Source organism: Homo sapiens, chromosome 6 (assembly GCF_000001405.40).
Source record: "Homo sapiens chromosome 6, GRCh38.p14 Primary Assembly".
Taxonomy (NCBI): Eukaryota; Metazoa; Chordata; class Mammalia; order Primates; family Hominidae; genus Homo; species Homo sapiens.
This window is the reverse complement of record NC_000006.12, coordinates 143,257,919-143,280,218: the sequence shown is the minus strand read 5'-3', so window position 1 is coordinate 143,280,218 and position 22,300 is coordinate 143,257,919. Positions and strand designations below refer to the sequence as shown.

The window sequence follows — 22,300 nt, the reverse complement described above, 5'->3', positions numbered from 1 at the left end:
TTGAAAGTCAGAGCTTTCTAGTGGTATGATGACAGTTACAGATGGCTGGAAGCGAGCTGAAGAATGATCTGTTGCTGTTTCCCCAAACACAAATACCATTTACAACTTACAGTATTTTCAGGTAGATGTAGATCCACCTTGGATAAATGAGATGGTTACAAAGTCTAGTCACCAAAGGTGGCTCTTAGCTCTTAAGAATTGTTTGGACTGTTTTCTGCAGTACATTGTCAACAGAACAATTCCCCAGGAGCTGAGCTAAAAACAAGGCTTGACTTGTTTGAAGAGCTAAGTAAAATGAAGGTTGACAGCCCAAGGAGTAAACCTTTGGTCTTCCATATAAAGTCCATCCTAGAAAGTACTGGTCTAGGATATAAGTGGTGAACCTATCCCAAGCTCTATCATCCATTTTAGCTAGTTTTAATGAGGAGCTATCATTTGGAAGATTGTGTCCAAAAAACGAAGCCTAAATCTATCCTGATTTATTGCATCATTTGTGCTTTTCTTAATGGGGTCTTGGTGGGTCCCCCGTGATGGAGCGGAGTGAACTGACTCCACTGCCATGGAGGCTGTGAACTGACCAGCCTCCCGTGACAAAGGTCTATTTGCAGAAGAGATCCACAAGGGGGTGTCACCTCCACACAGAGCAGTCCTCACACCTGAGGTGGGGCTGGATTCACGGAAGGACCCATGATTAATTCTGATGTGAAGACTCGGAAGCAGATGGGACAAGAAAAAGGGCTTTTGCAGAAGAGGCTCAAAGGAAGACAGCAGTGTAATGAAGTGGAAAGATTAGGAGGCTGGCATCTGAGATCTAGTTCTGATTTTGTCCTTCCTCACTCTCAGACCCGCAGGTTCTCACACATGTGTGAAGCTTAGTATTATTCTTTGTAAAATGAGGCAGTTGGATTAAATTAGTGCTTCTCCTGAAGAGCTAATGAGTTTTGCTATAACACATGCCAGGGCTGACCCACCTATGCTTTAGGGACAGTAGCCACAGTGCCAGGGCCCATGAAAATGTCTTAGTTTCTTTTAGAATCAGAAGAAAAAAATGAACTTTCAGAGTTGAAGATTATATTCATCTGTATACCAATGCTGTCATAAAACATCATATACGTATACACACGTACACACTAATGTAAGAAGGGACTCACTAACACAAAGTGCTTAAAATCTACAAAAGCCATACTGTGGCCCCGTTCATGCTACTTGATTTTTTTTTTAAAGTTCTCACCCAATTCACTCACATTTTTCTTAAATAAATGTACTTAAAGGAAAACTGTATGTAAACTCTCATAAATGGAATATCATTTGTCATAAATAGAAGATAATCACAAAAACAAAATACAATAAAAATGAATTAATCTTATTAGATTATTTTGAGGCCTCCCCTATCTGTGTTAAATAAGGACATTAGTAAGTATAGAGGGGCACTAAAGATATACTGGCATGAAGCTGGACACAATGGCTCATGCCTGTAATCCCAGCACTTTGGGAGGCTGAGGCGGGCGGATCACCTGAGGTCAGGAGTTCGAGACCAGCCTGGTCAACTTGGCGAAACCCCGTCTCTACTGAAAAAACAAAAATTAGCCAGGCTTGGTGGCAGGCGCCTGTAATCCTAGCTAGTTGGGAGGCTGAGGCAGGAGAATCACTTGAACCTGGGAGGCAGAGGTTGCAGTGAGCCGAGATCACGCCACCGCACTGCAGCCTGGGTGACAGAGCGAGACTCAGTCTCAAAAAGAAAAAAAAAAAAAAAAGAAAAGAAAAAAGATATACTGGCATGAAAGAGAGACTCTCCTAAACAGAATGAGAAGGACTGAAAGATAATTCAGAGGGAATAAACTTTTCACTATGCAATTTAATATTATTTAATGTCACGTCCCCGTGCTACATAAATTATCTTGCAAAACACAAGAGCTATACAGCCTACATACTGGGGTATACTGGAATAGATTATTCATAAGTTGTAGTTGTACCTTCTAACTACTAGATTATTTGATTTATGAATGGATGTTCTTTCACCAGGAAACTGGAAAGATGGATGAGTTGGAGGTTTAGATTCTGACAGACGAATGTAATGGTATTAAAGGAAAAATGTTCACACTACACAAGAAGGGTCTGGACTGGCTCCTGGGGAAAATTTTGGACTATTTGTGATGGCAATGAATGACCTATAAACTACAGAGAAGTTTTGGAATAATCTTCGCTGTGGATTAATAGAAGGACAAAAATTATGCTGCATGATGGTATAAATCCAGGCAAGTCAGACGGATGAATTAGGGGAGCTCTCAAGACTATTTTAGATCTCTAGAATTGAGAGTTATAATCAGAGTGTACAACACAAAAATTAATAGGCAATATTTGAAGACTATGTTCAACTGCTATTTCTCTGGTCTTTCTCCTTCTCTCCAAAATATTTTTTAATAGGAGGGTACTACTCCCATATCATATGAACACCAGGCAAGAATCGTTTTTTCCTCAGAAGTAAAACCAGCTTTTGTATGTGAGGTGTGGCCAACCTCATTGGGTCATAAGAGACCTGGCAATCCCCTGTCCGCTACTGGCACCTGTAGGATACAGGCAGGCCTCTGGAAGTGTTTGCACAGTTATGTGTGCATCAAATCACTAGAGGAGCTTGTTCTTGCCTTCATGTTTTCTAATAACCCAATGACAACTTTGGATCATAAATAAAAAGATGGCAGTGTGCATGTGCGTGTGTGTTGCACACTTAATAAAGACATGCATATCTTTGCAACGTGCATATCTTTGTGTTACTGTGCACCTGTATTCTTATAAGCACCTGGACTGCAGGCAGGGCCAGCGATGTGACTGGACTTGCCTACGAAGATGGGATACGGAAGGGTTCCTAGGAGGTCCAATAAGTTTATAGCTATATTGTAAATAAGAATAGTATGAAAAGCTATCCTAAGATACAAAAATTGTGCACTCTAGATTGTAACTCGAATATTTTGTTTACTTTTTCCTGTTTCCTCTCACCCCCCCATAGAACAAAAGGGTATTAAAAATGAGAACATTTTTATCTTGAAATAAAGCAAGAAGAAATTTCCAGGTTTGGAAATAAAGCCCATTGCATTAGCAAAACATGATCTAAAACAATAGAAAGGGGACATGAGAAAAACTGAGAAAAATCACCAATCTCTGGCTGATCCTAATCTTTGGCAAAGCTTCTAGGCTTCCCAAATAAGTCAAATGTTCGAAGAATACAGGAAAACGCAGCATTAGTGAGGGCATGAAGAGAATCAACGTGGATCTGCCCTTGGGGCCACTGAACAGTGTTAGCTGGATGAGATGTTTCTCCTCTTCAAGGGAGATAGAAATGACATCCGAAGTAGCTTGGAAAGAAAACTGATGCAGGCTCCAAAAAAATCCCCTGAATTTTTACCTCGGGAAATCTGACAAAATGTTTTATCTTGAAACTATCATTATTAATTTCGCTAATTGGTCAGCTCAAAATCTGCTACCCTCCCTCCCTCCCTTCCTAGTAGAGACATTGTAGTGTTTTGAATGATGAGGAACTGCCAGTCTCAGCCACTATAGTTTCTGTTTCTCCAGAAGTCAAACAGAACTTCCTCTTGTCATGGGTCTCCCTCTCCCCAGCGCCCAGTGCTGGCTTTAGTTTGGTGCTACCTATCAGCATGGCATAGAATCTCTCTCCAGAAACTGCCAGGGCATTTTTTAACTGTGCCTTTTTGGCATATGTTGGATACCTGTTCCTGCCGGCTGTCAAACCAGGCTGAGATGCTCTTACACCAGAACAACCTCATGTTCAAAATGAGGTTAGAAACAGTGACCCAAGGTGAAAAACTCAGGTTCAGACAGAACAATACTTACTGAGTGCCAGTATGTTCTGGGCACTTCCAAAACTCTTTATAGGCTAAGGACTAAATTTGGAATTTACTCACTTCTAACATTAGCCCCAACAACTCTTAGGATATGGTTTTAATAATTACGCCAAATAAAATAGTGTTGCACACTTAATTAAGACATGCATATCGTTGCAATTAAGAGCAACTATATGTCATAGGAACCATTACACTAGGACAGTGACACGTTTTACTGGGCTATTACTTTTGCATTTAAAGATTTTAAATATGACTTGAGGCAGTAACTATCTCTTGCTGAATCCTAATGAGGACACCCAGGAGGTGCTAAGGGGCCATGGCATTACCAGGAGGCTGCAGTGCGGTGTGTATTTTCTCTTTCCTTTTCAGCTCAGCAGCCTGTGGGCCACCAATTAAGGAATTCTTTTTGTGACTGGGATGCTAGAGATGACCCATGTTGTACCATAAAATATAACATCCATTTTTAAGTGACTTAGTGTTTGCTTTCTTCCACGAAGATTTCCCAATTAGTATGTGTAGTTCTCACAGAATAGCACCTCTAATGAATGCCCTCAGACAGGCAAACCACTATACTATGATGAGCTGTATGCAGACTTGCAGACCAACAATGGCACAAAGGCCAGAGTGATTTGCTCTGCTTGGTTATGTCAAGGAAAGATCTCATATCATGGTGGACATTAGAACTGGGTTTTTAAATGTGACTAGGGGTTGATAAGTAGAAGGGTAAAGGACAGCATTCATTCACATGGCCAAGGAGAAGAAAAAGTAAAGGTACAGCACAGTCCACTAAGGGCACTGTTACCACTGCAAGACATGAAAGAGGATGAAGAGCTGGGTTTGCACGGGTGAGGGTGAGGGAGGTGTCTGCCAAACCCTAGAGGGCTTTGAGCTGGAGTCTGCCCTGCAGGAAGCAGACGTTCCTCTATAGGTTCAGACATCTTCCATGGAGTTTAAGATCTAGAGAAGTAGGAGAAACAAATTTGGATATTAATAGTAGAAAGATTAAGCTGGAGAAAGAGTGGAGAAGGGAGTGAAGAGAGGAGAGATTTATCTGTCAAGTCGCTCCCCTCTCCTGCCTGGTTCCTATCCTGCTGGCTTTTCAAGGAAGGGACTTTCCATGACTTTCTTCTAGGCCACTTCCTCAGCCTCACACCTCTTCCTCACCTCTCTGCAGCCTTGTCACCTACAATTTCCCCCTTTCTACTCTTCTTTTTCTCCTTTACTTTAATAAGCTCCACAATACAGACAACAACATAAGATAAAGAACAAAAAGAAAGCTAGTCTAACTTTGTAAATGTCAATTTGACAGGTAAACAAAGAAAATATTTATTTCATCCCTCTGTGTTTATGCTGCTTCCTCTATCATTAACTGGATGTGCAGAAATATGGAATAACAATAATAATAGCTACCATTTACTGAGCTCCTAATATATGCTGAGTTTATACTAGACATTTCCCACTGTTATCATATTTAATTCTCACAGCAATCCTAATGTAGTAGTTATCTTCTTCATTTTATACATGACGAAATGAAGGAACAGAGGGGTTCACTTGTCAAAGGTAGTGTAGAACTCATAAATGGTGTAGCCAACATTTGATTCCAGATCTACCTGACTCTAAAACATGCTCTTTTACTGACACACACTGCTTCCCATGCTCGTTTGTTCATTCATTCATTCATTCATCCAATAAATACTATATTCCTACTATACACCAGTCATCCTTGCCTCCAACGGACTGCTGTTCTGGGAAACATGTCTCAATTAGGTGAATAAAAATTTAAAGTCTCTCACCTTGGAAAAGATCTCATTCACTGGGGTTGCATGTATAGGATCTTGGAGTAGAAGTGGCTCACACAACACATGCAAATAATTGAAGTTATTCTATGAGATCTATTTATTGCATGCCAGGAACTGTACTGATCGCTTTACATGGAATAAAACTCATTTAATTCTCAAGATAATGCCTCAAGGTATATGTTATTATCATCATCAATTCCATTTTACAGAGACTGAGGCACAAGAAGTTAAGAAAGTTGCACAAGTTTATCCAACTGGAAGGTGGTGAGTTTGTGCTCAGACTTGGGCAGTTTGACTCCCAGTGCTCTGCTGCCTATGGAGCACCAGGACAACCGAAGGATAAAAGAATGGCCAGGGGTAGATCTCCTATGAGGGAAGGGGAGCTGACTGTGTCATGGCTGTGCCTGGGAGAAGGAACCTGAAATCGTCTCTCATCGCCCCACCATTCAGCTTCTTAAGATTCCAGGGTCTGAGGGACAACAGGTCAGTCTTTATGCCCATGTCAGAGGGTAAATCCCACAGGTAGCAAGAGCCTCATGGAGGTAGAGGGGAAGAAGGGAGAGTAACTCCAAGCTGTTGTCATGGAGAGGCATTCTCTTTCTGAGATTTGTGCTACCTTTCTTGTGTTTTTGGTGGCCCACTCTCCTTAATAGTATTTTGGAAACTGATATGGTTTGGCTGTGTCCTCACCCAATTCTCATCTTAAATTGTAGCTCCCATAATTCCCATGTGTTTGGGAGGGTCCTGGTGGGAGAAAATTGAATCATGGGGGCAGTTTCCCCCATACTGTTCTCATGGTAGTGAATAAGTCTCACAAGATCTGATGGTTTTATAAGGGGTTTCCCCTTTTGCTTGGCTCTCATGCTCTCTTGCCTGCCACCATGTAAGACATGCCTTTCGCCTTCCACCATGATTGTGAGGCCTCCGCAGTCACGTGGAACTATGAGTCCATTAAACCTCTCATTCTTTATAAATTACCCAGTCTCAGGTATGTCTTTATCAGCAGCGTGAAAATGGACTAATAAAGAAACATTCTGGGGAGTGAGGTGAAGAATGCAAGAAGAGAGAGCAATGGGGGACACAGCAGAGGTGAATGGCAAGGGAAAAGTGAAACTCAAGTAGGTGTTCCTGCACTCAGTAAAATTTAAAGCATTGAAGTATTTTCTTAAAGAGCACGGAAAAGTGACAAGTTTGGGGAGCAACTATAGAAAAATGAAACATCATTCACAGCACTCTGAAATTTAACAAAAGGAAGCTTGAAAAACAATAACCTAGGATTTTAATGTTATTCACCTGCTTTTCAGATATTTTCTCAGTAGAATCCACTTATTCGTAGATATCAGCATCCTGCAATGTCAGAGTATGGCTTTAAAAACATAATTCTGACTATGTGGTTCTCTTCTTTAAAATATTCCCACAATATTTTTTTTTGAGACGAAGTCTCACTCTGTCGCCCAGACTGGAGTGCAATGGCATGATCTCAGCTCACTTCAACCTCCGCCTCCCGGGTTCAAGCAATTCTCCTGCCTCAGCCTCCCAAGTAGCTGGGATAACAGGTGCCGATCACGATGCCCAGCTAATTTTTGTATTTTTAGTAGAAATGGGGTTTCACCATGTTGGCCAGGCTGGTCTTGAACTCCTGACCTTGTGATTCGCCCACCTCGGCCTCCCAAAGTGCTGGGATCACAGGCATGAGCCACCGCGCCTGGCCAAAATCTTCCCACTATTTTCAGGTGAAGTCCAAGTTTCTTGGCATTGCCTTCAAAGGCCCTTACTATGTGATTCAACCTACTTTTCTAGATTAATCTTATACCACTCTGGACTGGCAACTGTTATTGTTCCATTAAAAGACCTCAAACTTTCACGTCTTTGTTCATCTTCTTTCTGACTGCAATCCCTTAATATTTGGGATCTTATCCTTGGTATATACATATTGCAGAGTCATTTTCCTCCCATCAAAGAATCAGCCTCACATTTCTATGCTTCCTCAGTTAGGCGGGGCCACAGTAAGCTCTAGTCCTGGCCAATGGGCCTATTATTAACAGAAGCGATGTGGACACTCTTAGGCCAGTGCATTTAAAAGCTGGTGTGTGTTCACTCTCTCTCTTCTCTACCATAGTGACCTGAGAGCCACATGTTAAGATCATAGATGGAAGGGTTCTGGATCCCTGCATTACCACCTGGAAGAAAGCTGCTCTGGAGGGTCAACTGGATAACAACATACTTTGTGTGAATGAGAAACTTTGTGGGGTTAATCTACAGAGAATTCAGAATGAAGTTACTATCTTCGGGTAAGTTAGCCTATTCTGACTAATACACTATTCCATAAGGTCAGCTCTGTCTCGGGCGGAGTTAATCCCTCTTTTTCGTGTTCCCACTGCATACCTACATGATGGCACTCAATGACTATACTGAGATCTATCTCAGTATAATCAAATAGAAATAGTATACACATACAGTATAGAAATAGAGTAGTAATATACCACATAATGCTATAATTACCGTAAGGGAAGGTGACCCTGATGCATTGGAAGTACTTTAGGGAGAATGTACAAACCAGTTGACCATTGTATGCTAAGCTTTTGTTGAAGGAACCTATTAGTATGACTTCCCCTTAAGCAAATCTTCTTTTTCCATTAACTTTTCTTAGAGAAAAAAACACTTGCAATTTAAGAGGAATAAGAAATAAGTTCTGAATGCAATTTATAAGCAAACTGAAAGATATATTCATCTTTAAGGGACAAAAATGATAATTTCCTATTATGTAAAGAAAGGGAGCTATTTTGCCCCAAATCATAATCATATGGGAATAAGCCACCAAATTTAAGCCGCGTATTCACAAAATATGTAGAAGCATTAATTTTTCAAGGTGAAAATAGTAACACATTTCCATCGACTTTTATAATTTCATCACGCTCCCATGTATCACAGTGAGGAAGCAAATTTCAATGGTACTAAAGATGCTTCTTCACTAAGTTTTCAAATACAATGATTTCAAATGGTTTTAATTTACCCTTGTTTATGATGAAAATAAATGTTATTTTGATTGATTGGCAAACGTCTACTAGCAGCAATAAGAGCAATTATGTTTGACATGGAGACATTATAAAATCTATAACCCAAACCTTTAAAGCCTGATTTAAAATGTCAAATTTGACTTATGAGAACCCGTTATAATCCTGCTTCATGCAAAAAGCATTAGGTTAATGCTGGAGCAAAGTACTCTTGCCAAGCATGGACTGGCATAATTAATCAGGGATATTTCAGAAACGAATCATCTCCAAGGGGTTATTGATTTACTGTCATGACATGTTTTTCTTATGGGCTGAGATGGTGCTCTGGAGCTGGGATGCACTGGCATGTATTTTTCAGTGACTAAGCCTTGATCTGTCCTCCTGGATTACTGCCATCTCTGCACTGACATCTGCAAACACTCACATTTGACGGCCTCATGCCTGAGTGTGGTGGCTTCCAAGTTGATTAGAATTAGTTCAGAGGGGTTTTGGACTAGTCTGAGTGTAATCGAAAGCAGAGAACCATGAGTCTCAAGAGACTGGCAAGCACCCTGCAAATGGCATTATATTAACAGAGAATGTGCCTGTGCATATGCACACACACATGCAAACATACGCAAGCACACGACATGCAAGCCTATATACTAGTACAGATTCATGCATTTGCACACATGCAAACACACACACTCATCCATGCACACACACACAAGCACACATACCCATGTGCACACACACAAATGTGCACACACACATATTAACATACTTAAAGAATGAAGAATATTTCAGCTTTAATCTTCAAGGTCATCTCTATCACCTATTAAATGAAATTAAAGCTCTTAGAGAAATACTAACTTATTTAAAGACATATAAAGTAGTTATAACTTAGCTGTTTTTCACAATGATTCCATGACATAAGGCAATGCTCTCAAAAGGGGCCTTTAGAGCCCAGTATAGTCTAGAGTTCTCCCAAAGATTATAGGAAAAAGCCAAGGGAGAAAAAGGCAATTTAGCTCACAGCTCAAAACCTTTTCTCCGTAGTCTTTGGCTTTGCAAAAAGAAAATGACACACTTTCAACACAAAGCATTGTGGGTAGTTATAGAAGCGTGGGTGGGAAGACAGTAGGTAATAGGTGGAGAAAGGCCTCTAAGAAATGGATAACATTTCTGTTACATCAAATTCCTATGCCTTTTTCAGGTCTTTGCTCATGTTTTATTTCCCTGTACATTGCATATCTTGCTTAGGCTGCCTGGATGATTCTGTGGTCAATGCTGAGCTCAGATGAATGGAGACTCTAGTGACCACATTGGCTCTGCTAAGTGTGGGAAGAGGGGGAAAGGATGGGGCCAGGAAGTCTTTCACCATTAGCTGGCTATGTAACTTTGAGCCAACTGGAGCCCTTCTGGACCTCAGACTTGTCATCTATAGGAGTCTGCAGTACTGGACAGTAGGGGTCCTGTTTGAATCTTGGGAATTTTTGTCTACATCCGTGATGTCACATTTTTTGTATCCAGTGTTTACATCTGCCCTTCCTTCTTCTTCCTTCACTATATAAACTCTGAGTTTAAATACTATACCATATCACAGAAAAGTGCACAAATAGTGAGTGTCCAGAAAAATCAACAAATGTTCCTAAAGTGAACTCACTCCAGTAACCAGCAATTGGATCAAAAACAGCTTCGAAAGCCTTCCAGAATATCCCCTTCAGACTTCTTCTTGTCACAGTGAATCTCCATAAAGGCAACCACCACTCTGACTTCAAACACCATACATCAGTTTTGCCGATGTTTACATTTGTATAAATGGAATCATATGTTATGTCTTCTTTTGTGTCTGGCTGCTTTTGTTCAATATTATATTTGTGATATTCATCTGTATTGCCTTGTGGAGCTGTAGTTTTCCTTCTCATTGCTGCATAGTACTCCATTGTGTGACTATAATATGATGTATTTATTCATTCTGTTATTGATGACACTGTGGTTCTCTCCAGTTTGGTGCATTTGGCAAGAGTGCTGCTATGCCCATTTGTGTGTATTCTTCTTTTGGTGGGCATGCGTGCATTTTTCTTAGGCATATATACTGAGGAGAGAAACTGCTAGCTCATAGGACATGATCACAGATATTCAACTTTAACAGACAGAGTCAAAGAGTTTTCCAAATGATTGTACCAATAGACCCTCCCGTCAGCAGTGTATGAGAGTTCCACTTATTCTGAATCCTTGCCAGCACTTGATACTGTCTTTTTCATTTGAGTCATTCTCATGCTTGCCCTTTAAATTTCAGTGCTTTATTTCTAACTTATCACCTTCTGACTCAAGCCATCCAGATTGTCCTACTGTTGCTGGTCAGGTTCCCTGTGTGGCAGATTCTGAGATGGAAATCAGCATGCAGAAGTTTATTAGGGAAGTGTTCTAGGACCAACACCTGTCCAGGGAAAGTAAGAAAGTGTGATCTAGGTAAGGAAGGTATGGCCTTGCAATGCAGTCTGAACAAGGGCCTGAGCCCACCCTACTAGGAGCTGCAAAGCTGTGAAGGCCCTGCCCTTCAGAGTTGCCCCTAATAGAGGAAGTGGGTCAGGTCTTTATACCCCAGCATGGACCAGTTATGGGATGAGGGCTGCCACAGGAAGGGGGTCTGAACTTAGTAAGGCTGCTGTCTTCACATAAGGGCAGTTCTGGAGAGGGCTTAGAGCAGAGGGCTGAAACTGACGGCACTCCCACCTGCTGGGGAAGTAAGTCCAATCCCCAAAGGGGACCTGTGTGGCACATCCTGGCATCCACCAAACATGGTTAACACTACACCAAGTAATACAGCTAGTCTGAACCTCTGATTTTAAAATCCATAGATGGCATACCTACAGTTAACAGATTCTGACAATCCAAAATTGCGCTGCAGGGTTATGAATCTGCTGACATTGGCACTTACAGGGACTTAGTGTTCTTATGAAACAAGAAATTGGTCAGTACATGATTAAATTCCTTACCACCACCTAATTTTGGTGCTATAGTCAGCCCCTGTAATTTTATATATGGTCATGCACAGCTAATAAGCCTCCTTGACATATAACTGGCTTTCTTACTAGCCAGGGCATAGTTGGCACTTCATGCTCTTTAAAACTTGTTATCAATTTGTAGCTATTCAACACCTTATTCAGCTGAATAAGGCACACGTTAGACCATCTAGTTGTGGTCCCCGTAGACTCGAGGCTCAGGGAACAATGCCAGTCGTACAGACAATACCAAGTGCTAATTCCCTCATGAGGCAGAGCAACGGGGAAGGGGGCTGGAGGAAGAAACATGCTCTGAGCTCCACATGTAGATCACACAACCAACCTTTGGTTTTATTCCTCCTTATGGCCCTATGTTTTGTCATTTTCACCCACAGACCAATATTTTAAATGGCTTTATTTCCCAAACTTTATATATCAAGTCATAATCCTCCCTATTTTTATTATAATTCATCATGGATATATATTTTGGCCAGCTTCAGATCAGCATGAGATCAACAGTATTACAACATTGTGCTCACAGAGTTCAGCCAAATCAAAGAAACCTGACATTTTCATCAGCCTCTGCAGCCTAATCCTGGGTAGAGGCACATTTTTAAAGCTTAAACCAGCTGCAGATCCTTCCTCGTACCTACTTTGGTTGACCCCTAGGAGGCAGGTCTCCATTCTGTGACTATCTCAGGTAAACGGAAAAGTCCCCAGTGTACACAGTGATGAGTGGCATTTCTATCTCTTCACCAGGAGCCTCCCTCATGAACAGAGACTGGACCTTCAAAAACTGCTCATCAACTTTTGTCTTCAGGCCCACCCCTTGCTCCAGCCAATGTATCTCCCTGACTCCATATTCCTCTTGCTTTGATAGTCATAAGTCTATGATATCTGGTAGCCACTGAAGAAGGAACCAAGATGAGGGCAGGGCTAACTTGGAGCCTTGAGAATCTTTTCAGCTTCAAGAATCAGAAAGGATGAAGGGGAAAAAGATGAGAGAAAGACTATTCAAAAGGTACAGAATGTGCAACTTTATGGGTTGCATGAACTAGATATAATGGCCAGTTCCTGGATTACTGGGGCTAGGAATCAAATGAGTAGAGGATTATAAAAATAGCTGTGTGCTGTGCTATACGAGGATAGGCAGCTTATGGATTATGAAAGTAGAACACACTAAAAGTAAAAATCAATCCAGTAAGTGTTTTGGTAAGTGGGTGAATATGATCAAGGAATAAAGAATGACTAGGAAAAGCTAGGATGCATGAAGAATAGCAGGCGTTCTTGTAGTAAAGGGAAGTCTAACAAGCCCTTCTCCAACGTGGCTTCAGAGGACCCTTTCCTCTGCCCTCAACTCACCTGGGATCTGATCCTCAGTGGCAATCACCTCAGTCTGGGGGAAGCACCATGACTTCCAGAATTTGAACAAAGATGTTTGAATCTTTTAAGTCCATGAGGAGGAGATGTTTTACAAAGAGATGAGCATTAGGAAAGGGAAAAGAAAGAGAGAGAAGCAGGACGTTGACAAGGACTGGGTCGCTTTTCTGATTCATGTGCATATTCTTTGAGGTCAGGTCCTTCTTTTGGCTCTGCTTAAATTGGTTCTAGATCATATTATTGTCCTTAATGAATTCTTACCCAGGCTGGAGTGCCATGGTGTGATCATAGTTCACAGCAGCCTTGAAATCCTGGTCTCAAGCAATCCTTCCACTTCAGCCTCCTGCGTAGGGCTAAACTACAGGTGTGTTCCACCATGCCCAGCTAATTTATTTTTTGTAGAGATGAGGTCTCATCATGTTGCCCAAGCTGATCTCAAACTCCTGCCCTCAAGTGATCCTCTTGCCTTGGCCTCCCAAAGCACTGGGATTGTAGGTGTTAGCCACCATGCCCAGCCCTTCTTGACCATTTTTTTTTTCAGTACTGGGGTATAATTGACAAACAGAAATTGTATATATTTAAAGTGTACAACTTGGGGTTCTGATATATGGATACATTGTTAAATGATTACCACAATCAAGCTAATTAATATATCCAACACCCCACATAGTTGTGTGTGTGTGTGTTAACACTTAGGGTCTACCCTCTTAGTTTCAAGTACATAATACAGTAAGTATCCCTGATTAATTCTTGACAGCTGATCTCAGGCGATTTCCATTTAACACCTGCAATGAATGGGCCATATTATTATTCTTTTTTTTTTTTTTTTTTTGAGACGGACTCTTACTCTATTGTCCAGGCCAGAGTGCAATGGCACGATCTCGACTCACTGCAACCTCTGCCTCCTGGGTTCAAGCGATTCTCTTACCTCAGCCTCCCGAGTAGCTGGGATTACAGGCGCTCGCCACCATGCTCGGCTAATTTTTGTATTTTAGTAGAGATGGGGTTTCACCATGTTGGCCAGGCTGGTCTTGAACTCCTGACCTCGTGATCCACCTGCCTCGGCCTCCCACAGTGCTGGGATTACAGGCGTGAGCCATGGCGCCCAGCTTATGGGCCATATTATTCTTATTGCCCTTCAAATCATCGCCTGTGAAACACTACAGATAAGCAGGATTCTAAATCAGAGTAATGAAGAGAAATGCCACTGAATGACATTTGAATGCCTGTGGCATGGTAGGGGCTAGAGATTGAGGAAATGAAATGCACCTTGAAGGAACAGCTGGGAAGGAATGTGCACACAGCGTTTTCAGTTAGTAGGTGCTTAATGCATGTTTATGGAATGAGGGAATGAGTGAGGATTTTGCAGAAACACTGTGAATACCGAAGGCATTACCAGGTTACTTTTTGTCACTTTAAGTTCACAGGAAGGATGAGGGGGTGTTTAGTTCTTTCTATCAGGGTCTCAGAAATCTTTCTCCTCCTAGTGAGGTATATTGTGTTCAGCTCTTGCCAAACTTAAATTGCATCCATGTTAAAGAGGAAAAAGGCTTTAGCACATTCCTTTGGGGAATGGAAACAATTTATTTTGTTTGTTTCTAATGGAGTGGGTTAGCTCCAAAATCTCACTGTGAGGTCTGAGAATCTGAGTTGAGGACCGCCAGGCAGCTAGAGGGGCAGAGAGAGGGGAAGAGGGAAGAGAATGAGAGAAAGACTGAGACATTATCAGGTGACTGAGATAGCAGCAGCAGCCAGGGATCAAGGCAATGCATAAAACAGAGTTCCTGGATTCACATCAGGAATACATATTTAGCCAAGTATAATATGAATATAAATGCTTTCATGACGATTATTTAACAAAGAAATGCTAGTTTTTGTTTTTAAATTACAATCTTCCCCTGTGGCTCAGCACAACCAACTTCAGTATCTTTGAGGGTGGGGCAGAATGGAGTGGCTTTTGTTTGTAGGTTTTTCCTCCTCGTTATCCACAACAATGAAACTGCCAGGCTTGTAGTTCATCTTCCTTTGCAGGAGGAAAGGAGAAGGACATAAATGCAAATGACCTGGATGATAACAAGTAATGAGATTTTGGGAAGACTCTCCGATTTCTCAACACAAACTAGATGATGAGAAACATAAGCATGATTTCTCATCTGCTGGTATCCCTTGAAAGCTTATTTTATAATATAATTTATTTCCAAAGGGTGGACTTGGTCTCCTAACAAGAGTGGAGTGTTGTCATTGCGAAGCTGCAAATGTCAGTACACAGCCTCAAGGTTAACATGGGTGGCATAAATAAAAAGGAAAACGCATCCTTCTCAGAGTTCTCAAGCCTATAATAAGACTTGCTGGTGTGTTCAGTGATATATGGTCTTTTTATTTTCAGCAGAGAGCAGTATGCTTTGGGTCTTCAAAATATTGTTTCATTGCTTTACAGAAACCAATCAATAACACGCAGGTAAAGTTTTTGGTAAGGCACATAAATCCTAGCATGGGGAGACCAGCTGTTGTGAGATTCTGGCTCAGTGCCAATTTCCAACTGGGGAGTCTCAAGGAAATGATCCTGAATCTGGGGCTTTGTTTGGATTTCAATGGAACATAATCGGGCGACATCTGGTCCCCCACCTTGTGCTGGCTTGGCCACACTTCATCCACCATGGCTCTGTGCACCTCCTGTGGGGCTTCCTGCAAGCGCCAGGCACCCGTGCCCTGCCCATCACCAGATGCCAATCAGTTTTTCACAGTGGGGGACAAAAAGAGAATTTGGGGCCTTGAAGATGCCTGCTGAGAACATCTCATAAAAAAGATCTTAAAATGCAATTTGGTTCCCACTGCCCCACAAGTTACTGGACACCAGACAAAAGAAAATGCAAAAATAACTTTGAGGGAGGAAAAGTGAGCAGGAGCGAATAAGGATAAGCACTGGAAATCCGCAGTGTGGGCACAAGATAAAGGAAAGATGAAAGGGGCGAAAAAATTAATGAATAAAGGCTAATAAATACCCAAGCATATACGCGCTCATACGAATAAAATAAACAGTTATAATCAAGTTAAAAACCATTTACACATATTAAATTAGCAAACTTTTCTTATAAGAATCTGTCATGTTGCAAGAATAAAGTGAAAAGCACCTCTCATGAATACTGGACAGAAAATACAACTCAACCACTGTTTTGGAAGCAAACTGTCCCTACTAACAAGGACTATAGTTCGATTCCTAGGAATCTATGCTAAAGAAATAATAACCAGCCTAAATAAAAGAAATAAACACAAGATAAAACACATTCTCCTTCAGCTTGGTAAACAAATATATTTTCCCTAGCCCTACTTACAGTAGCAAAATAATTTAAAATAATCTTAATAATCTACCATTGGGGAATGGTTTTTCAAGTAAGATATATCCACTCGGTGGAATATTATACAACCATTAAAAACATCTAAAATACTTATACATCACATTTAGACATCAAAGAACATCAAAACATATTTATATTATCATATTTAGTTTCATAAATATTACATGGAAAAATCTAAAAGGAGCACATCATAATGTTAACACCGATTCCTTTGTCTGAAGAACCATGAGTGATCTTTCTTGTTTCTACATTTTTATATTTTTTAGAATGTTCTTTAATTTGTGGGTATTACCTTGTTATTAAAGTTACATTCATAAAATTTTTTTAAAGCATACATTAAAGAAAATGTGGTGTATGTACAGGAAAATATTTGAATAAAGTGTTTCCAAGAAAACACAGAAATATGAAGAACCAGGGCAGGGCTTATAATAAGCTGAGCAGATGAGCAGGAGAAAGGGCAAATCGGCATGTTCCTGACATCAGAAATAAGAGAGTGAGAAGGAAGTAGAAGCTTAAGTAAGTTATAAGAAAGAAAGAAAAAAAAAAACAAATAAAGGACTAGGATATAGAAAACAAAGAGGGGAAGCTATCAAATAAAAGTGGTATTGCTGAATAGTGATGACTTTTGCTTTGCTAGGGAACCATTTAAAAATGCTTGGTCACCATAAGCAATACTGGGGAAAGGCCAAAGACAACTGGGGGGAGTAAAGGTGATGTACTAATCGGATCTTCCTTATACATAATCATGACCAAAAGAGTCATTTCAAGCTTTCAAGTCAGTCCTCTGGGACATCAGTGCCCTAACAAATACTACTTGTGGCTCTCTTCTGTCAATCTGCTCATCTGTGGTGTTAATTTTATGAATAATATTTCAGGATGGCTATGCAGATTTATTTGAGGAGGAATGTAAAGGGGAGAAAATTAGAAAGCATTGCAATAACAACGCATTTGAGAACTTTTGAAAAACTGACCACCATTTTGGCAGAAAAGTGTAAAATGCATGATTCATCTGTGGTCCCCCTAATGATTTTCTATCCCTGGATTGGCCCTTTGGGAAACTCTACTAGATAACATAAGTCTTTTTAAGATCTTCCCTTGCTAGACTATAAACCTTTATTTTTTTCTAATGAGTCTTCAATTTTTAGTTCTGTTTTGATGCATATTGCCTCCTTCTACCTTTTTCTGATCCTGCGTAAAATCCCTTTCGTCATTGTAGGAATCTGTAAGAATCCCTATTTCTTAAATTTGTATTTATCAAGTAGTAAGTTAATGTGATTCTTGGCAGCACCTTCCATCATTTGAAGAGCATGGCTTCTCAGAATTTTCTTAGTTTCTTTACCTCTGTTCCCCTATTTGCTTTGCAGCTTGAAAAAATGAAATAATACAGGGGAGTTCTCGTTTTCCAGCTGCAGAATCAGTGTAAGGCAGAGCTGTATGTTAGAGTTTCTCCCACAGCAAATAATTCTTCCTACTACTTACTTGCGGATGGAGCCTTCAATTTTCTGGAGAAAAAAGTACCTTGGAAATGATGTCACCCTGTTTTAACAACATGAAGTATTTAATATTTCCTATGCTACTTGGATTATGTAAGCCCATTTACCTTCCCTCCCCTGGCACAGTTTAAATTTACAAGTGGTTTTAATATAGAGATGATTTTGCTAAGCAATATAAAAACACTTCCTCTTGCAAATTCTTAGACTGCTTTCTGTTATTTATTTCACTGAACATCCATGGGCTGAGCTGCAGCAATTGCTGAAAGCGTCTTTGCAGCAGCACCTTGAATATGTCTTCCAATTCTATTTATCAACAGCAGGATAAGTTAGATACTCTCTCTCATAACTCAAATGCTTTCTGAAAGATAATCATTAAGAGAAATTGCTGTAAACTAACCATTAGCTTTTTCAAGAGTGCAAGGATTATCAGCCAACTTAAATTTAATGCACCAAAATCAATGAGGAAAAAGACATCAAGACGTTCCCTAAATCACTGCAAAGCTAGAGTTGTTTGTTTAGAGTATCTTTAACTAGAGTTCTTTTTATCTTGTGAAGCAATGGTAACTCTTTAAGTTTATGAGGTTTCCTCTAACTTTCCATCTTTGTGAACTTAACCCATTGGTGGAGGATAGGCTGGTGTTGATTCAGTTTCTCCAGGTGTGTTTGAAAAGCTTTAGACTCAAACATTAAAAAAAATTGCATAGAGGAAAGGTAAGGGCTATACTTTATATATGCTTTTTAATAGATTTTTTTGCCACATAAATTCTGACATTTAACCAAAGCTACTTTTCAGGGTGAAGCTTTTGCCTGCTTAGGCCAAGGCCACCAGTATTCACACACCTCCCCCAAATTCAGCCTTGCAGGGGCTGGAAAATGCCAACACCTAACAGCTACCAGTGGCCAGGCGCATTGGCTCACATCTGTAATCCCAGCACTTTGAGAGGCCGAGGCGGGTGGATCACCTGAGGTCAGGAGTTCGAGACCAGCTTGGTCAACATGGAGAAACCTCGTCTCTATTAAAAATAGAAAAATAACCCGTGCATGGTGGTGTGTGCCTGGAATCCCAGCTAGTTGGGAGGCTGAGACAGGAGAATCGCTTCAACCCGGGAGGCGGAGATTGCAGTGAGCTGAGATCGCGCCGCTGCACTCCAGCCTGAGTGACAGAGGGAGACTCTGTCTCAAAAGAGAAAAAAAAAGAGCTACTCATGCTTTCCTTCTTCCTTCCCCATTCCTCTGCAACATCAGATGTTTGTGGAAGATGACTCAAGTCATCTCCAGGCTGTTTGCTTGTGGGTTTGAAACTCTGGGAGTCTCCTTACTTTTAATTTCTCCTCCTCTTCCCACCAGCTAAAGAGCTGAAACCAAAGAGAAAGACATTCTTTTTGTTTGTTAATTTTAATGAGCAAAGGGATGGCGGGGGGGTGAAGGGGAATTAGGGCTTCTTTAAGCAAAATATACTGTTCAATGAATTGCAGGCTTTTGCAGTTGTGGGATGGGAAGCCCAGTGGTTACTGAAGTTACACCTGGGTTGGAATTCTAGCTTTGCACTCACTAGCTTTGTGACCTTGGGGAAGACATTTAACTTATTTAAGCCTCAATTCTCACAGCTATAAAATGGGCTTAAAAAGGAATAAATACCTAATGGTGTGGTGCTGAAGTAAACCAGGCAATGTATGTAAAACAGTCACTACAGTACCTGGCACAAGGTAAGTGCTCAGTCAATGTTTGTGTTATCATTTTATTGCTTGAGCTATGGTCTTTTCCTGATTCTTTCTTGCGACCACAGCACCCCACAGGTTTTTGAGTTATCTTGGAACTAAGTGGACCCAACAGGGAATCTATTATCATGGATAAATGAAAAACTGAATGAATAAAATTTACTGGTTTCCAAAGGAAAGCAGAGAATAGATTCAAATTCCAATTATTTAATAAACACCAAACACAACAATATATACTGAACTGAAGAAGTTGGATGGGATAGGGGGAGGTGTCTTTAAGAAGCAGAAGACCCGCCAGATGCGGTGGCTCATGCCTGTAATCCCAGCCCTTTACAGTCGGCAGGAGGCCGACGCGGGCGGATCACGAGGTCAAGAGATCAAGACCATGGTGAAACTCCATCTCTACTAAAAATACAAAAAATTAACCAGGCGTGGTGGTGGGCACCTGTAGTCCCAGCTACTTGGGAGGCTGAAGGAGGAGAATGCTGTGAATCCAGGAGGCGGAGCTTGCAGTGAGCCGAGATCGCACCACTGCACTTCAGCCTGGGTGACAGAGTGAGACTCCGTCTCAAAAAAAAAAAAAAAAAAAAAAAAGAAGCACAAGAAGCACAAGACCCTCACTGTCTTCATTACTCCCTTCTCCAATGCAGCTTTGGCCACATACGCTACAGAATTTTTCCCTTGGCTTCCAGGTCACTACATTCAAATCTTATGATACTAAAACTTTTAGGCAACTCAAATGCAGTAAGTCCAAAACTAAATTTATGATCAGCTATTGTGCCCCGCTACTGCTCTCCTAGTGCTCCCTATCCACTGCCCAACTAATTGCTCATATGAAACATTGAGAGTCATTCCTGACTTCCCTTTGGGTTTCTGGCTGGTAAAACTGAACAGGGAACACTAGCAGTGAACTAAGTTTGGGGGTACGTTCCCAATTTTGGTTATGAGCACGCAAGGAATGAGAAAACTTTTTGATGTTCAACTTAATGAGAGTCTGGAGCTTGTAAAAGAATTCTTAGCTAGGTGATAAATGCAGCTATAATTGTGAATACGCTCATTTAAAAGAAAGGCATACATATATATTAAGACCAAAACAGGGCCCAAGAAAAAACCTTGAAGGACTCCATGTTTAATGGCTAGATGGCAGAAGAGATGAGCCCGCAATGCATAGTAGAGAAAGTAGCCAAAGAGATGAAAGGAAAACCAGAAAGTGTAGTATCAGGGAAGACAAGGGGAAGAAAATAAAAGGAGAGAGTGGTCTATGGCATGTAATGCTGCTGAAAAGGCAAAATTAGGACTAAAAAATGTCTATTGATGTTCTGGCAAATGCAGGTTGTCTTAGTCTGTTTTGTGTTGCTATAACATAATACCCAAGGCTGAGTATTTTATAAAGAAAAGAGGTTTATTTGGCTCACAATTCTGGTGGCTGGAAAGTCCAAAATTGGGTAGCTGCATCTGATAAGGACCTCATGCTGCCTTCACTCATGGCAGAAAGCAGAAGTGGAAGTGGATGTGTGCAAAGAGATCACATGAAGAGAGAGGAAGTCAAATTCTAGACCCAAGAGTTTAGATTGGATATATGGGCTAAGAGGATCCACTGCCCTTTTGTCTTCTGCCCCCATCATCTGCTGGAAATGGTTTTGCCAAGGTCTCTGTTGACCTCTGCTATGGTTTGGATGTGGTTCCCATGAGAGCAGATTGTTAAAAAGAGTCTGACTGCTCTCATGGTAACTAATCCATTCCTGCACGAGGACATCCATCTATTCATGAGGGTCCATCCCCATAACCCAAACACCTCCCATTAGACCACATCTTCCAACACCAACACAGAGGGGACCAAATTTCAACCTCAGTTTTGACAGGGGGTGGGTCTAGAATATAAGACTTTTTTCACAATTGTTCCTCAAATTATTTTCAAGTTAAGCTTTCATTTATACTCTTCAAAATGTCTCTTTGCCTCAACTGTGCTAGTTCCTTCCTTGGTTTCTTTCTCTATTCTACTTCATGCCCCTCCTTGATTCTCTCTCTGCCAATAAAGCCCATAAAATACCTCCATTAGCTGGCAGAGGCTGCAGTCAGAAGCATTTGCAAGAAGAAAAATCTTTAAACAAAAATTTTGTGAGTTTTGCAAAAGGATATGGGTAAGAATGGAAGATATTGCTCTCTTTAGTGTTAGCAGTGGCTAAGAAGAAATTTTTGCATTGGAATCACATACAATCAGCATTGCTGAATCAGTACAAACAATTCTACTGATGATTTGAATTATAATATGCTGGTGATTGTTCACAAAATTCATGAAGAGGCTGAATGAACATGAGCTCATTTGAATTTGTTCAGCCACAATCAATAGTCTCCCATTTAGTGACAGATGAGACAGGGTGGAAGGCTTTTGTCTTCATTTTACAGGTGAGGAAACTGGGGACTGCCCTTCTTTAGCATTTTATAGAAATGGTTAATTCTAGTGAGAAATGTCCGGCCTTTGTCAGTAGGGATACCTAGATTCAAATACTGTTGATACCATGGATTCAATTGGAGGACTCTGGGCATCAGGTTGGCTTATAACAGGCATTCAGTAGTTATTAGTTTCTGTTCCTTTCCCTTCCTCCTCTTTAACTTTTGAAATCCCAGTTAGAAAAAGAACTAGCCACTGTGCAGGGATATGCTGAGCCTGAGGGTGGCAGGAAGTGACAAAC

The 22,300-nt window shown here is 40.9% G+C and overlaps 1 protein-coding gene across 20 annotated transcripts in view, besides 2 other annotated features; it reads right to left on the bottom strand.

The window, feature by feature from the left end:
• AIG1 (androgen induced 1) overlaps window positions 1–22,300 on the bottom strand; it is a 284,671-nt gene that overhangs the window by 63,665 nt on the left and 198,706 nt on the right. The window lies entirely within an intron of this gene.
• Window positions 493–787: a silencer, noted in NCBI's record as "tiled region #5457; HepG2 Repressive non-DNase unmatched - State 12:CtcfO". NCBI's record gives its function as "represses a minimal TATA promoter and a strong SV40 promoter by Sharpr-MPRA in HepG2 cells {active_cell/tissue: HepG2}" and the evidence as "EXISTENCE:reporter gene assay evidence [ECO:0000049][PMID:27701403]".
• Window positions 3,687–3,816: an enhancer, noted in NCBI's record as "active region_25195". NCBI's record gives its function as "activates an Ori minimal core promoter by ATAC-STARR-seq in GM12878 lymphoblastoid cells {active_cell/tissue: GM12878}" and the evidence as "EXISTENCE:reporter gene assay evidence [ECO:0000049][PMID:35858748]".